This window comes from Homo sapiens, chromosome 6 (assembly GCF_000001405.40).
Source record: "Homo sapiens chromosome 6, GRCh38.p14 Primary Assembly".
NCBI classification, from domain to species: Eukaryota; Metazoa; Chordata; class Mammalia; order Primates; family Hominidae; genus Homo; species Homo sapiens.
The window spans coordinates 72,915,289-72,933,007 of NC_000006.12; the positions used below are offsets into that span (position 1 = coordinate 72,915,289).

At 36.5% G+C, this 17,719-nt stretch overlaps 1 protein-coding gene and 1 long non-coding RNA gene across 10 annotated transcripts in view; both read left to right on the forward strand.

The window, feature by feature from the left end:
• KCNQ5 (potassium voltage-gated channel subfamily Q member 5) overlaps positions 1-17,719 on the forward strand; it is a 576,790-nt gene that overhangs the window by 293,225 nt on the left and 265,846 nt on the right. The gene's annotated exons all lie outside the window — the stretch shown is intronic.
• LOC124901340 (uncharacterized) lies at positions 8,543-16,039 on the forward strand. The gene is made up of 2 exons (XR_007059642.1): positions 8,543-9,873; positions 11,628-16,039. It is a non-coding gene; the product is annotated as an uncharacterized LOC124901340 (long non-coding RNA).

Here is a 17,719-nt window from a genome sequence, read left to right on the forward strand (position 1 = left end):
AGGGATGTCTATTCTAATTATAAAGGGTATATAGCTTGACTGCTTATACAGTCTGGCTTCAAGGATATTTTGCCTCTTATTTTTAAAAGCTTAAATAACTATTGATTCTTTTCTCCCAAATAAAAAGGTTCATGCTTTTTGTTCTTTTAAAAAAAAAATCACAACAAAGAATCCAACAAAATTGATCAAATGGCTTCCATAGTGAGTAATTTTCCTGAGTTTTTCCCAAATAAATATTCCTTAAATCTCCCAGAAAATAGCAGATTCCATCTTAAATATTTAAATTTTAGAAAATGTTATTTTTAATGAGAAATGTATTTGTCTATGCTAAGAACTTAAAGATTTAAAGCATAGCAGACTTTTTCCTGTGTCATGTGTGCCTCACCTGTACACATAATCACACACAATCACGCACACACACACAGGCACACTGACTAAACTTTAAGTACTGTCAAAAAAAAAATTTCCAACCAATAGAAAATGACAAGTGCATTTATTGTATGTCTGTTTTCACATCCAGTCTTGCTTGTATAGTTATTTATGTAAGATCTTGTACTTGAATATTAACACATAAAAATAAATCTGGCTTGAAATGTTAAGATTCATGAGGGACATAGATGCTACTAAAAATCATAATCAGTACCAAAATTCTCACCTAAACTAGAATTTCTAGTGCAAGCAGAGCCTCACACATGAATTTGCTAATTGAATTCTTCCCTAGACTGTGGATATTAGGCAGCTTTGGTTTTTATCTCTGATAGATAATCTTGGGGAATTGAGATATTACTATAGAAGTGGTCTTTTGGAGAAAATTCATTTTTAATGGTAAATTATTAAAAACGGAGCTCTTTTATACCACAGTGACAGTGTGGAAACATTGGTAGTTTCTATGGTAGCAATTTCTCATTTTATGTCTTTTTCCCAGCCACTTTATTATTTATACAGGTTTAGTAATAGGTATTAATTCCTAATACAAAGTAAAAACAATTCAGGTTTCACACCAAGCATTACATGGTCATAACCCAGTAACTACCAGATATTGTGCCTGCCTTTAAATATTTACGATTTAGTTGATATTAGCTCATGCTCTCTAAGACTTTTCAGGAGAATAAACCAAAAGAAAATCTAAGCAAGCCGGAGGGGAATAAAAAATAGGAACTGTGCCGATGATAGAGAGAGGCAGATTACTATGAGATGACAACTCACTTCACTCCCCCTTACAAACAGTTGTGCAAGTACCACTGCTTCCTAAGCACTATCGGAGAAGAAAAGCATGTTTGTATTCAGCCTGATTATTCCATCCGCAGATCTTAGCAGTAAAACCTTCTCAAGTCTGAAAGGGAGAACATTTTTCCTATTGTCAGTTCCACGGGGGTAGAATTGAATTCTTCCCTTTCATATCTCATTGTTAAGTAAATTCAAAAAGTTTTCCTATATAACTACAGTCTTCTGCAATATTTTATTTAATAATTGATTTTATATACCCCCCCAAAAAAAGTTTACTTGCTGGGCCATTTCTGCCTCTGGCAATGATGTTTCCAAATGAGGAATGATGCCTCTAAGATGGAGCCTCAAGTGTTGGAAGTTTCAACTTCTGCAGTCACTTACAGGGCAGATTTGAAGGGGGATGGGTAGACCCTGTACTGAAATACCCACCTAGAGAGATGTCTAATATTTCCACATGAATGCTCATTTTCTTGTCCTCTTCCTGTATCATGAACATATTCCCTGGCCATGGAGGAATAAGGCATCAGCGTTCTTACACATCCACAGGAATGAGTTCTATGTCCCAGAAGAGAGGCCAGGGAACTGGAGAGGAGCCCAGGGTGCTGAAGGGAGATCTGATGCAGGGAGGAGTTAGGGAGCAGACAGTCCTCAAAATTTCCTCTGCTGCTGCTTATCTTCTATGGTGTGTGGTAGAAATAAATTAGATTGAATAAATCTTGAGAAAGCATTAAGCCAGAAAAAAATACCAATACTTATTTCACCCTTACTTTCCCTTTTCTGTTGTAAATTTGAAATATTTTTAAAAGTGTGAATGTAATAACACTGTAAGACATGAAAAAGCTTTTTGTTAAACTGAGACCATCAAAAACCTACAGAGAACTTAATCTGGAACAGATTCTGGGGGATTTAGGAGCCCCCCCACCATTTTTTTATTTTTATTTTTATTTTATTTTATTTTATTTTATTTTATTTTTTGAGATGGAGTCTTGCTCTGTCACACAGGCTGGAGTGCAGTGGCATGATCTCGGCTCACTGCAACCTCCACCTCCCAGGTTCAAGCGATTCTCCTGCCTCAGCCTCCTGAGTAGTTGGGACTACAGGCACATGCCACCACACCCAGCTGATTTTTGTATTTTTAGTAGAGACTGGGTTTCACCATGTTGGCCAGGATGGTCTCGATTTCTTGGCCTCGTGATCCGCCTGCCTCAGCCTCCCAAAGTGCTGAGATTACAGGCATGAGTCACCATGCGCGGCCAGGAGCTCCCTTTTCATAATGTGTTTTGCCCTGGGAAGGAAGGACATGCCCAAGAAGCCTGCCGCCCACTCCCTCCCACTCCACCCTTCAAGTTACTATACCCTGGATCAGGATTTCTCAACATCAGCACTATTGACATTTGGGCCAGGTGTTTCTTTTCTAGGGGGGCTGTCCTGTGTCTTGTAGGATGTTTAGCAGCATCCTTACTGTCTGCCCACTAGACGCAATAGCACCCCGCACCCCTTAGTTGTAACAACCAAAAATGTCTCCAGATATTGCCAAATATTCCTGGGAAAGGTGTGAGGGCCAGGGGGAACAGACTGTATGCAGCTGAGAATGATTGATCTAGATGAAACTTTCCAAACTGAGTTTCCTGTGTCACTATGCCCCATAAAAACGTGGCCTCTTGGGAACTGGTGCATGCACTCCTCTCTCTTAAAGATTCCTGCTGCACAGTAGCATATTAGGATCTCTCAAAGTCCAGCTTGTCTTTGTTTAAACTCATGCCAAATTTATTTAAGTATGGGACCCCTGTTTTTCACTAATGTCAATCAGTACTTTGTGGAACTCTTTGTCTTTGAAACACTCTGGATTGCCTTGGACTGATAGAGCCTAGTATAATGGACAATTTGGTTTATATTAATTGTTCATGTGCTCAAAAGTCTCTGAACATGAGAGTTATCATTTTTGTGAACGTGTCTCAAGATCATGAGAGAGAGGTCTTTATATGAGGAAAGGCACATTTTATTCCTCCAGGACCTTGAAAATTTGGGGAAAAGTCAGAGTGATAGAGAAAAGGACAGAGGTGACAGAAAAGTTCCTAATTAGAACTTCAAAGGAAATTGAGGGCTGGCTGGCCCTACCTTCCTTTCCCCTCCAGAAAATCAAGCCAAACCAATCAATACAATGAGAGGGAGATAAATGGCAATACCTGGCCTAGAGAGCCACCAAATAAAATTTTCGGGTCCTATCTACTAATTGGGGGCCCCTATGCTGTATATACTTCTATGATACTATAATATGTTAGGGTGAAAGAACTAAAATCATGCAAACAAGCTGAAGTAAACAAGCAGCAATTATTGAAAAGGAAAGTTGCATGAAGTCCAGATTTACAAAGACTAGAGCTAGAAAGAGAAAATTTCAGGAGCTGAAGTGTTGCCTTCTCTTCTCCCCTCTTGCCTTGTCTTCTCTCGTCTTCTTTTCTCTCTTTTTGTTCTCCTTTCTCTCCCTCCCCTTCCCTGCCATCTTCCTGATGGTTTCAGTTCTCATAATTTCAGTTAGCACATGACTTTGTGACTTTGTTGTGATCTAGGGCTGACTTTGGCCCTGATTCTAGATGGCTTTTTCCCAAAATGACTTGATCGTTCATGGCCAACCAATGGACGAGGTGGCCTTGCATCAAGGTGTTTGCCTCTGGTCCAGTCATCTGAAGCCAAGGAAAGATGGGGCAGGCAAAAAATAAATCAGAGGGTCACCTAGACTACTCATTCAGCAGTCTGTAAGGACAAAGGCAGCTCTTAAAGAACTCATGGGAGAGACAGAAACCTCAAAACATAGCTATTGCCACCTATGCTGTGTATAGTTTAAGCAGTAGTAGTCACATAAACAAAAACAATAATAATAGCATTATTGAGTGGTTGAGTGCTAACAACAAATATGTCAGGTACTTTTCTAAATGTTTTTTGGTAATACACTCATCTTATTCTCAAAACAAGTCTATGGGTTAGATATAGTTATATGTTGTATTTTTCAGATGAGGAAACAGAGGACTGAAGTTCAGTTCCCAAAATCAAGCAGTTGATAGATGGTGTAGCCAGGATTCAAACCTACACATCTGGCTCACAGTCTATGCTCTTAGTTAATCTGCTGAGCTCCCTTTCTGAAAAAAAAATTAATCATAATAATTAGAATGTAAAAAATATAACTTCAGGAAAGTAGATGCCTAGATTTTGGCAAACTGTTCTGGGTGGGCTTGCATTTCAGAAGTATCAACCAATGTTGAAGGAAGCCTGCCTTTGGTTATAGACCAATCATGTCATTTGTCTCTGACGTTCCATGCCCAAGATGGATGTATTCTTCAAGAGCTCACTAGTAATTTACTCCACTTAGAGTTTGTCTGTTTGTCTGTTGCTTGGAGCCAAGAGCCTAAGCCCAGCAGTTGTCCACTACAATCCAGAGCTGGGGCCTGGCTGCTCACCAAAAGTGTCTTGCAGCGGCACTGCCTCTACCTCCATTATATAAGATAGTGGGGCCAGGCACAGTGGCTCAAGCCTGAAATTCCAGCACTTTAGGAGGCCGAGGTGGGTGGATCACCTGAGGTCGGGAGTTTGAGACCAGCCTGGCCAGCATGGTGAAACCCCATCTCTACTAAAAATACAAAAACTAGCCAAGCAGGTGCCTCTGATTCTAGCTACTCAGGAGGCTGAGGCAGGGGATTCACTTGAACCCGGGAGGCAGAGGTTGCAGTGAGCCAAGATCACCACTGCACTCCAGCCTGGACAACAGAGCAGGACACTATATCAAAAAAAGGGGGGAGGGGGATTCTGCCTGTCTCCTCACTTCCAGTCAGTCTGTCCATCTGTGTTATAAGATGTACCTCTCTTCTTTATTGGTAAACCAAAAGAATGGTTTGATCCCTTTAAAAATAGTAGAGTATTCTGAGCCAGAGTGTTGGAATACGCATCTAAGATAATCCGTGACCCTACGCAGATCATTTATACTCCCCATAGCTTGCTCTATTATTAATAGGTGGCCATTAAAGCCTCTTTCTGAAGACTTCTGCCACTCAGGTGTTATTTCAGAATCAGGAAACTCAAACCTTTAACATTTTTCTGACATTTATTTGAGTGAAGAAAAAGCCTGACAATCTCTTTTTCTATGTTCTACATTTTTGCTCAGAATAATATTAATAGTCTGTCTTTTAGAAATATTTTTCTTACTAAATACCAGCCAATACTTTTTATATGTGTATTTTGTCTGATTTTCTAAGTGCAGTGGTTTTGCCACACACTAAAATGTGGATGGATCAACCATCTTCTTTAACTAGGGAGTCAAGGGGTTCTGCTTGCTACCACAGCACCTATCTGGCTTCAATAGATGTAATCTTAGGCTGTACATTTGAGTTGCGTTCAATTGGGAACAAAAATTACCTTAAATGTTCTTCCTTATCTATTTAATTAAACTCAATTCAACAGACATTTATTGGACCACCTGAAACATGAAAAAACACTATGATATTAACCTTAGTAAACTCAAAGAATAGTGAAACAAAGCCCTGCCAGAAAGGGGCTTATTGTCTAGTTGGGCTGAAGGGATAGAGGAGGAGACAGACTAAAATAAGAGTTAGAGTAAGCAGCCCCAAGTTCCATATTAAGATTGATCTCATAACATGGGGAATAATATACATGTTATAAAATCAGCATAGCCATGCTGCTTGAGTTGAAAGGAAACAGCAGTAAGATTCAATTAGAAATAAATAGGAAATGCTTCATTAGAGGCCACTGTGCAGGAAATATAGTTAGGAGAACCAGATGTTCAAAATATATGAAGAAAGACACAGAAATAAGAATACACATGGCAAGTTTAGAAAATAATGTGAAGGTTGATTGGGCTCAACAGCATGTTTGGCGTGAGTAGAAGATGAGCAAGAAATAGTTGACCAGGGGCATTTCTGGAAAGCCCAAGGATGTAGTGAGTGGCAAAGAGCAAGATAGTGGTGTACTGGGGAGTTTTGGGGAGTAGACAGGAGTATCAGGGTTTGAATTCTGGAGCTGCTACTTACTAGTTGTATGACGTTGCTTGCATGAGAGATTCTCTTTGAGCTTCAGTTTCCTCCTCAGTAAAATTGGGAAGGGAAAATAAGAGAATCTACTTCACCAGGTTATTGCAATAATTGCCTCAGCTAAACCATTTTAAGTTCTTTGTAGACACTCAGTAAGTATTTATTAATAAGTACTCATAATAAGTACTCTAAATTTGTTGACTAATCTTTGTCCTAGAGTCTTGAAGTGGACATTTTTGACAGAAAATTTCCCAGTGGACCAAAACAAAGCTGGGTGTCAGTAATTCATAACTCACTGAATCACTGAACCTAAACCCAACTTGGCTTTATGATCTGAATATATTAACTTTGTCAGTTAAGGATGTAAAGAAAAATTTAAGACATGTGGCTCCCTCAACTTGAAATTCTTGATACAGTTAATGAATGTTCCTCCAAAAAAGGTTGTGGGTGGGAGAGAACAGAGCCAAGAAAATCCATTTACTTACAGCTTTTGGTGGTATGTAACTAGCAATTCACTCAAACGATATCAGAGGTACTATCCCCAGTTCTGTAAGACCAACTTCGTATTTGTGGACATATTTTATGTATAAACATCCTAAGGACTCTAAACATATACCAAACACTCAGTTAATCCTCATGGATTATTCAATAGATAAGAATATTATTTTACTGTCTGTGCTTTAGCTATCTGTTATATAATGCTCTACTTTTTATGCAGTCTTTGTTATTTAATTTTATTTTTCAATTGAGAAATAATATTGTATATACTTACAGTTTACAACATGATTTTTAATATATGTATACACTTTGAAATGACTAAATCAAGATAATTAACATATCCTTTACCTCATATTGTTTTTTTGTAGCAAGAACATTTAAAATCTGCTCTCAGTAATTTTCAAGTAGGCAGTACATTGTTTTTAATCATAGTTACCATTACCCACAATAGATCTCCTGAGTTTATTCCTCCTGTCTAACTGAAATGTTGTATGCTCTGACCAACATCTCCCCATATCCCTCTCACCAGTCCCTAGTAACCACAATTCTACTCTCTGCTTCTATGTTCTCAAATTTTTCAAATTCCATGTAAAAGTGAGATCATGCGGTATTTGCTTTCTATGCCTGGTTTATTTCACTTAACATAGTGTCCTCCAGTTTCATCCATGTTTTGGCAAATGACTAGATTTCCTTCTTTTTTAAGGCTTAATAATATTTCATTGGGTATATAGGACACCTTTCTTTCTTTCTTTTTCTTTTTCTTTTTTTTTTTTTTTTTTTGAGATGGAATCTCACTCTGTCACCCAGGCTGGAGTGCAGTGTCTCAATCTTGGCTCACTGCAACCTCAGCCTCCTGGGTTGAAGTGATTCTCCTGCCTCAACCCCCCAAGTAGCTGGGATTACAGGCACCCACCACCACTCCTGGCTAATTTTTGTATTTTTAGTAGAGACGGGGTTCCACCATGTTGGCCAAGCTGGTCTCAAACTCCTGACCTCAAGCAATCCACCTGCCTCTGCCTCCCAAAGTGCTGGGATTACAGATGTGAGCCACCGCGCCCAGCCAGGACACATTTCTTTATCCATTTACCTGTTGATGGACACTTAGGTTGATTCTGTATCTTGATGATTGTGAATAATGCTTCAGTAAACTTGAGAGTGCAGATATCTCTTCCACATACTGATTTCATTTCCTTTAGAAATAGAAGTAGAATTGCTAGATCATGCGATAATTCTAGGTTTATTTTTTTGAGGAGCCACAGAATATTCTGTTTTCCATAATGGCTGTAATAACATTCCCACCAATAGTGTACATGGGCTCCCTTTTCTCCACATCCTCACCAGTACTAATTATCTTTTGTCTTTTTGGTAATAGCCATCTTAACAGGTGTGAGGTGATGTCTCATTACAGTTTTAATTTTCATTTCCCTGATGATTAGTGATGCTAAGCCTTTCTTTATATACCTGCCAGTCATTTGTGTGTCTTCTTTTGAGAAATTTTTTTAATCCTTTGCCCATTTGTTGCAGTTTTTAAAATTTCAACTTAAATTTTAGATACAGAGGGTACATATGCAGGTTTGTTACATGGGTATATTGCACACAGGTAATGAGTATAGTACCCAATAGGTAGTTTTTCAACCCAAATTTGCCTTTCTCCCTGCCCTAGTAGTCTGCAGTGTCTACTGTTCCCAAGTTTATGTTCATGTGTGCTCAGTGTTTAGCTCCCACTTATAAGTGAGAACACACAGTATTTGGTTTTTTGTTCCTGCATTAGTTCACTTAGGATTATTCTTTTGCCCACTTTTATTTGTTTTATTGCTAGTGGGTCATTTGAGTTATACAATATTTAAATAAAAGAGAACCATAAACAGTTTTTGTCTTAGGGGATAATTTTTTAACACAATGGTTTCCTTTTCAGGTCAAGATGAGCTCAGAAAAAAAGGTATTGAAATAATTCAATCATAGTTTACTAAATGAGAACATTTTGCTAATACTTTATGGGTTACATGAATAACATTCAACTTGGGAGATTTTTATAGTATTGTTCATTTTGATTTCTTTTTCTAAAGAATATTAATGTCAAAACAAGTTTTCTTATAGTTCATCTTCTAATCATTACACACCATAACATGCTCACTTGAGATCTACCCATCATTTTTATAACAATTTCCAATGCAGCTGAGATGTGAACTCATGACAGATTTTTTTAGTTTTTTGAGATTGAAGAACAGATTTCAAAATAACACACTGAACTAATCACAGGAAACTAGGAAGCAGAAATAGCAATTTTTCTGAACAGAAATTAATATTGGAACTATCAAGTCAGTAATTTTATTTGAAAGTGAAAACTAGGGTCACCAAAATCCCACTTAGAGGTCGTCACCTCACACTGAAGACTAAGATAAAAGCGCCTCTTAAGTGGGTCGCCATCCGCATCCTAGTTGTGGGCACTCTGTCCTTCCAGACCCCACAGCCTATTGTCATCAACAGCACATCTCTGGCACTGTGATTAGCTCAATGTGCTATTTTTAAATCTACTATTCATGCTCAGAGCTCTCACGCAGGTGGAAGACCCTTGCCTTCCCTTCCCAGAGCTATGCAGTATTCTTCTCTCTCACCCTCCTTCCACTCGCATACCACACACACACCTTCAACACTTCGACCTCCCTTATGGGGTGAGCAACTGCTGTCTTGGTTTGCCTACAACTGAAGGATATCTTGGGATATGGAATTTTTGGTACTAAACCCAGGACATTGGGTCACATACGTGAGGAGTGATGAGGGTGAGATAGTGAGGGACCTCTGGCTGTTCCTCATCTTATTCCTTTTTTTTCCTTTTGTTCCCTAAAAAAATTATTCATATAAACAAGGAAGAGAGGATCCTTTTACTGTTCAATTAGTTCTTCTCAAAAATTTATCATTTTAGGGCATGGTTTTCTTAATCTATTAACCATTTTCTGAAAAACATCCTAAGATTTATAAATCATAAAAATGTTTATGTTTATTTGATAATATGTAGCAGAAATAGATGGACCTACTGTTGAAAATTCTCTCTCAGTAAAACATTAGCACCTCTTAATAAAGGGAATAATTGAGTGATTTTTTTCTCAGAAAGGTGTCTAAATAAGTATACCCAACATTCTGGATAAGAATGTTCTCATGTAGCATCCTGTAAATCAGTGAGAAGGAAACAGAGGCAAGATAATATATATGGAGCCTTGGAAATCTAGATGAGCTTACAGATGGATCTCTTCAATCCAAATCTGTCAACTCAGTAAAGATGTTTATAAAAATCAGTCAAAACAGCTGCCAGGCATCTGAATCACTTAATTAAATGCTTTATATCTCAACTAGTTTTTGCATCTTGTAATAATGTCCCTAAGAAGCCAACATCATCAGAATAGATCCACAAATATTCATTTATGCATTCAAATATTTCTTAATTGAGTATCCAGTATGTGCCACTTGCTCTTCTAGACATGTTCTAAGAAATATGGCCTCAGTTCCTGGGCTTAAGGAGTATATAATACACTGGGGATACAAAACAGAAAACAATAACCCATTAAATACATAACCAGAGCTCATAAAGGCTTTGGGAGAAAATAAATATGTTCAACAGCAGGGTTAAAAAACAAAGTGGGCTTGTTGAAATCTAAAGGTTGGCAGGCACCATCCAGGCAGGAGTGAAGGATTGTTCTGGGTAGAAAGAACAACTTGTGTGAGGGAGGAGCTTGCTTAGTAGTTCTAGGAATCTGAGGGAGATGCAATGGGAACCTTGTGGGCAAAGGGCAGCTGCTGCTGAAGGTGACAGTCATTAATTGTAGAGAATTTTGTAAGCCAAGACAAAGGCTTTGCATTTTATATGAAAGGTAATGAGAAGCTACAGAAGAGTTTTACACTTAGGAACTTAGATATGCAGTCCATTTAATGTTGCATAAAGATTACTCTATCTACCTTTGTGAAAACGACATAAGAATGAGAGAAAAATAGCAGAGAGCCAGAAGAGGCTGCATCTGAGCATCAGGTGGATCCAGAATTGTTCTCCTCAACTGTCAAGAGGTGGGGGATTGAGAGCTGAGGCTGAGTGTCTGCTTGCTTACCCCTTTGCCTTCAGGGGTCCACCCTCATTCATCCCAGGAACTACCAGAGATGGTGATAAACTGCTCTGCCCCCACTGAATTTTATTGGTTTGGGACACAAAACTGACTTTAAAAGGTTAATTAGTATTACTGCTGCAAGGAATCAGCTCATGAAAAGTTATACTGCATTAAAAACTAGCAGGCTTACATTATTTATGGAAAACAGCTGTTGAAAATTGTCTGCTAAAGCTTCATTTCTTCCCATTTCCCTTCTCTCTATCTGGCACTTTATTATAATTTCTAGAAGTTGGTGTACTTTTTAACTATGATCATTATTTCTGATCATACAGTTGGTGATGTAAACAGTGGTACCTAATGACTCCCTAAGCCTCAAATTATATTAAAAGACAATGAGCAATATCTAAGGGCTACCAACAACACTAATATTCCTTAGAATTTTTCATTTAATTATTTGAAGAGAAAAACTTGTAATTGTGAAGGTTTGAAATCCTCTTTATATAATATTTCTAAGGGAAAGATAAGAGTTGTAGTTTGCTGAAAATCTGTTCAATTAGTTCTTCTCAAAAATTTATCATTTTAGGGCATGGTTTTCTTAATCTATTAACCATTTTCTGAAAAACGTCCTAAGATTTATAAATCATAAAAATGTTTATGTTTATTTGATAATATGTAGCAGAAATAGATGGACCTACTGTTGAAAATTCTCTCTCAGTAAAACATTAGCACCTCTTAATAAAGGGAATAATTGAGTGATTTTTTTCTCAGAAAGGTGTCTCAGATAAGAGTTGTAGTTGCTAAGAACAATGATGTGCTCCAACAAGTTTCTCATTACCATGGTGACTTCTCTTCTTTTAAGTTCAACAAATCATCCTTTATACTTGATAGATGTTTAGACAGAGTCAACACTTAGAGGCTGCATCTAAAAAATAAAAATGCCTCACAAAACATTGACACAAGGAATTAAATTTTATAAAACTGGCTAACTTTGGGCCCACTGGGGCATGAGGGGGAGGATTTATAGGTGTTTCAGTAGTACTTAGTGATTCTTTATTAGCCATGTGGAAATGCTAAAAGTTTTACAACCCGAATTCTGTAGTTTTAATTTGTGGCAAATATCCTTGGACTAAGTCCCACTGAGATTCTCAAATATTTCAACTATGACAAGCTTCAAATTTTTTTCAGAAAATATGACTTGTTCATATCTCACTTTGGAAAACTGTTTGATTTGTTTATACTACAAATCGGAGAAGCAAGTCATCTCTTATTTTGTGATGAATTGTTTTTGTCATGTGTTCTCCTATGACTTAGAGATCCTAGAGATTTCTACAAACAACAGCTTTTAGCCTAATCTAGGTGACAATGAGACAAACACAATAAGAATTTTAAATAAATTCAGTGTCTCACAACAGAATCACATCAATCTAGAGAAATGAGAAAATGGGTCAAGTAGATAAGAAAATCTAACTTCCTACTGTTGGAAAATAAACTATTTAAAGATCATGATATAAGTAATATGAATACCAGCTCAACCATACTCTGTATTTTTCTTTAACATTACATACTTTATTGCTTCCATTAATTGAATTTTCTACGATTCTATTGAATTTACCAGTCTATATTGTTTTAATTAAGCATATTGGTATAAATTTGCAGTCATTTATAGGTGACCAATACAAATTTTTTTTTCACTTGTTTTCGCAAAAGATAGATAATTCTGGACTCACAGATCTCTAGACACTGTTCCTGGTCATAACAGGTATTCAAGAAACATTGGTTCCCATTCCTATACCTAACACCTTCTGCACATTACAGGAAGAAAAACATGTGATCCTTGAAAAACTTAGTCTGGAGAATAAATACATGAAAAGGAGGGAAAATAGAAAAATTACATGCTAAGAAATGTGTACTGCTTGAGAACTCTTTAAGCAACAAAAGTGTTGTCTCTATTAAAAGCAGACAGGTGAGGTTACCTGAGAAGAAACCCGTGTTTTCATGTTCATCTCTTTAACATGGGGCAGGTCCTTAGGTACAAAACAGATCTGAACTTCTTGCTTTCTGTTACTCTTAATTTAACTGGCTAAATCAGTAATATGACTTTGCTTTTAGACAGTTATACTAGACAGATATTTTATTGAGTACTCTTTGAATTTAGAAAAACAAGGGTACTAAAATATGCCCAGTGATGTAGGAACTATGTGCAGTTGGAAGGACTCTTTGCCAAAACTCTAAGGAATCTTGTGGATTCCTTACAATGTGTTTCATAATTGCTACCTGGGTTACATTTGTACTAAAATCCTTTCTTCATAGGAATGATCTTAGAGTTAAATAATTTTCTATTAGTCTTTTAACTACCTCCTCTCTATAAATTTTTAAAGAAAATTCACTTAAATTACTTTTAGTATGGGAGATTGTAAGCAGAAGGCCCCATAGATTTTGGATCTGTGGTAGCATGGGAAATTTTCTTTTCTTTCTTTAAATAAGCCTTATTTTAGAAAAACAAATCTCTAGCTAGCTAGCTACATAGATAGATAGAAGTAGACAGAGATATAGATATAGGTATGGAGTAGACTCTAATATGTCTCTATGTATATCTATGAGGAAAAGTAATTCTTAGTCTAATTCCTATGGAAATTAGACATTAGAATAAATGCTAATATACCTAGCACAGTTCTCTACTCTGCAGGTGCCCATAAGCTCTTTATTTTTTATTCATTAATTCTTCACTCAACCACCCAGGATTTATTAAACATTCTGTGCCAGGCACTCTGCTGGGTGTTAGAGATATAAAGATAAGTAAGACTTGGTCCCTGTATTTAAAGACTCACAAAGCATCCTAAGGCTAGCTCCAATTCCTTAAGTCATGCGTATAGAAGTATAGAGAGATCACTATGATTATATAATTAATCAGTCCTATAAACCATATTTTAAAATCCTAACCTCATAAATGCTGACCCATAACAGAGGTTCCTCATAACTAGCTGTAAAACCATAAACCAGTCCTTTAATTTCTCAATGCATTAAGAAGTTTGATTTGTAAAATGTGGTACTGAAACTAAGATCCCTTTTATATTTGTAGGATTGATCTGAAAGTGACTACTGATTGAATGCCATGTTGATGTGGATGAAGAGAGGAGTTGAAAGCTTGTCAGTTAACCAACAGAAAAAAATTAAAGTTCGGTGGAATAAGACCAAATGGACAATGAACTGCCCACTCCCTAAACCTCCCACAGGCACATAAAGTGACTGCCAAAAAGTGCACTCTCAGTTGTCTGGGCACATGGAAATATCTGGCACAGTCTCTTATCCATTAAAATCCTAAATATATTAATTAAGAACCTTGTCTTTGGAATTGCAGAACCAACTTCATGTGTTTCATGTGGCTTTAAACTGCAAAATTGTCAATTTATAAGCTTGCAGTTGTGCCAATGGAATACATAAAGTACATAAAGTACAATGGAGTATATAAAGTACAATGTACATAAAGTACATAAAGTACAATGGAGTACATAAAGTACTCTAGTTTGAACCAGAAGTTTTATTAAACTATTGGATAGAAGAAAATGGTCCAAGATAAGAACATGCAAAATCCAGAACATGAAAAATGCTCATTTTACCCAGGATAATTTAAAACGTATACAATTTGTTAGATATAATTGTTGATGAAATTAATAAAGAATATCAAAAAGCCCATTAGGTAGATATTTGTTAATATTAAACACAGTCTTATGACAGGAAATATCAAGAACAAGGACTGCATTTTATTCATTTTTTGTTTAGATGAAACTTACATAATTTAACTTTTCTTTATTCCATAACTGTCAGGAAGCTTAGTGTAAGATTTGATGCTCATTCCTAGTAACTGGTAACTATTTGTGCTCTCCTCCTTTTCTTACATTTGATGTTATTGTTTAGTGTTTGTCCCACTTTATGAATGACCATTTTTTAAGCTTTCTTAAGTCATCTTTGCAGAGGTCATATTTAATAAAAAAAAAAGTCTGCCTTTGTCTCATCATAGAGCTGAACAGTGTTCCTTATGTGGAGTAGGAGCTTAACACATATTTGCCACATTGTTAATTCATTGTGAAGGATTTCATAAATAAACCTAGAGAAAAAGATATCCACTAACGTATTAAATATTTTTTAAAAGCAAGTTCATCTGAAAGGAGCAACTATGTCTTATTATCTTAAAACTTCAAAGGAAGTTTTTCTTTAAATGTAAAACATACCTCTTAATTCCAGAAAGACTGATCCTTCATTTGGCTTTTGTGCATTTTAGCCAGTCTTGGCTTTCTAAATCATGTTGAAAACAAACAGACCATTTGTGCCATGTTTGCTGTTAACTAAGTAATAAACCAAGAGGATTTAGCTAATTTTTTGAGGTCATTAACATGATGAAGTTAATCACCTGAGTTAAGACATATGGACATTTTACCAAAAAAAAAAAAAAAAAAAACCGCTCAAATGGTCCTTGAAATAAGGTTAAATAGATCTAATTTATGTTAAACTTTAATTAACCATATGCACTACTGCGTGATAATGTGCATGCATATGTTGCTTACATTAATTGCTTTCATAAGTTAATTACTGCAACACACTTTGGCTTCTGTTCATTTAAAACTTAACAAATGTTCGCACCAGCTGTGGAAGTGATTGAAGGCAATAAATGAACGAGTAAACCATTGGTTTACTTGTTTAAATTAAATCTGCTATCTCAAGCTGTCCTGTGTCTTAATACATTAGAAAAGACACTTGGGAATCAATGATCATGTAATTCCTATTTTAATCACTGTTAGTCATACTTAAAGTAATAGGGACATTGAACTTTTACGTTTGTTGGCTGACCTCTGCTTTCTATAGTTTACTGGGCCATCATTGACTATGGTTTACTTTTATTACAGCAGAATTGAGCTACAGTTTCATATAATTAGATATTTGTCTGGTCCTTGTATAAAAGCATACAGACTCTGTCATGCCTGATGTCTTTTATTGCCCACTTTAACTGGATACTAAAGTTTGTGTTTAAAGAGATGATTTATATAGACAAAGAACTTCTTCTAAAAAATAATAGAATTCTATTTTATTGAAACTAAAGTTTACTTTTTTATTACATCATTTGTCTCTCTGAATCTGTAGCATGTTGGCCAATATAGTATGATAATAAATTACTACTAGAATACCTCATATGAAAACTTATATTTTTCTTGACTATTAATTTGAATCACTTTTTTAAGAATCAAATTTCAGGATATCTGGTTAATGATGGTGGGTTGAACACATACATTAGCCTCTGAGCCCCTTCTGAAACCACATCAAAATGAATATAAAGAGGTCTTTTAAAGATCCTAAATCACTAGGACACAAGAAATAAAAGAGAACACAAACAACCCTGGAAAGCATATGGACAAGTGGTAACTGACTTAGCAGAACCTAGAAAGTTAAATCCTAAGTCAGCAGGTGGGAAAGCCAAGAAACCTGATTTATATTGCAGACCAAAAGGCGAGGAACTAGTGGCTCCAGGCACCTCTGGAAGTGGAAGCGAAGTGAGGCTAAAACAAAAGCCTTCTTGTAAATTTCCTTAAGAGGCATTTAGACACCCAGGGCCCCTTCCCAACTCTGCATGCGAGGTAATTGCCTCACACTTTGCCTCACACTTTGGCAAAAATTGGAGGACGATTCTCTGGAAGGCCTGCCAGAGAGAGCTTCCAGATTGTAGTCCCCAAAGGCTAGAGTTGAGGGAGGAATACTGGACTGAAAACAGGCAGGTAAAATGAAAGTTAATACATTACAGGTAAGCTCTCCCTCACTTGACTCCCAAAAACCCACCAGGCACTGGAAGAGCCTTCTCTCAGGAATCTGCAGCCCAAGAATAAACACCTGACTGCATAGAAATAAGGGCAGAGGGGATGTGGGGAGTTCCTCATGAAAAGACCCAGCCAGATTGCCCTAAAGCCCATCTAGCTAACAGAGCTTCCAATTAGCATCTACTCTTCTCAGTAGCTGGCTTATCTGAGGATGGAGTTTACAAGGTCTTAATAATAGAAACATTGAATATGAATTATAAATCTGTCGGGTGAGTGAGAGCTGGGACATGGAAAATATGTGTGTTTGTGTGTGTGTGCGTGTGTGCGTGTGTGTGTGCATGTGTGTGATGAGCGTGGCAGGGAAATAAGGAGAAAGGGAGCTACATCCTCATCTTCCTAATAGGAAGACAATAGATGAGGCCTAAGCCTGAATAACTGAGAAGCAGCAAATAGGCATCTTATTTAGATTTTCTTTTTTAAATCAGTTAGACCTGAAAGCAGTTGACTTGGGAGCAGGAAACTATGTGCCTCTCTCAATGATATGCATGTATCACTTTGACAAAAATAAACACTTAATTTAAAATTATAATAGATGCTTACATAGTTTTCATTTTAAAAACAAACTTTAAAGAGAGTAAGAGAAAGCTGTTATTCTTTTTTTAATCAATTTCCCATACTTGTTATTTTATAACTTATTTTCATGTAGATCCTCCTGATTATCTGCTATTTTAAGACCTACATAGCCTAGGAATTAGCATTTTTGGACGCCTTGTCCTACATCATCTCATATACGGTAGCTTAAAATGCATCTATATCCTGCATAAATTATATGTGGTATAAAATTAAAGAGAGTTTTTGTAATGTTGCTTTTTGAACTATTATCACTTCAAGAAACTCATCTACTTTATGACTTACTTGTTAGCATTGTCAGCTTTTCTGTGCTGTATTTTATACTAAAACTGTTTCTGAAAATGCCTGAAAAATGTTTCTTGAAAATTCATTTAACATTGTCTTTCTCAACTAAGAATATATCTGCCAATTGACTATGATTTTTATAAAA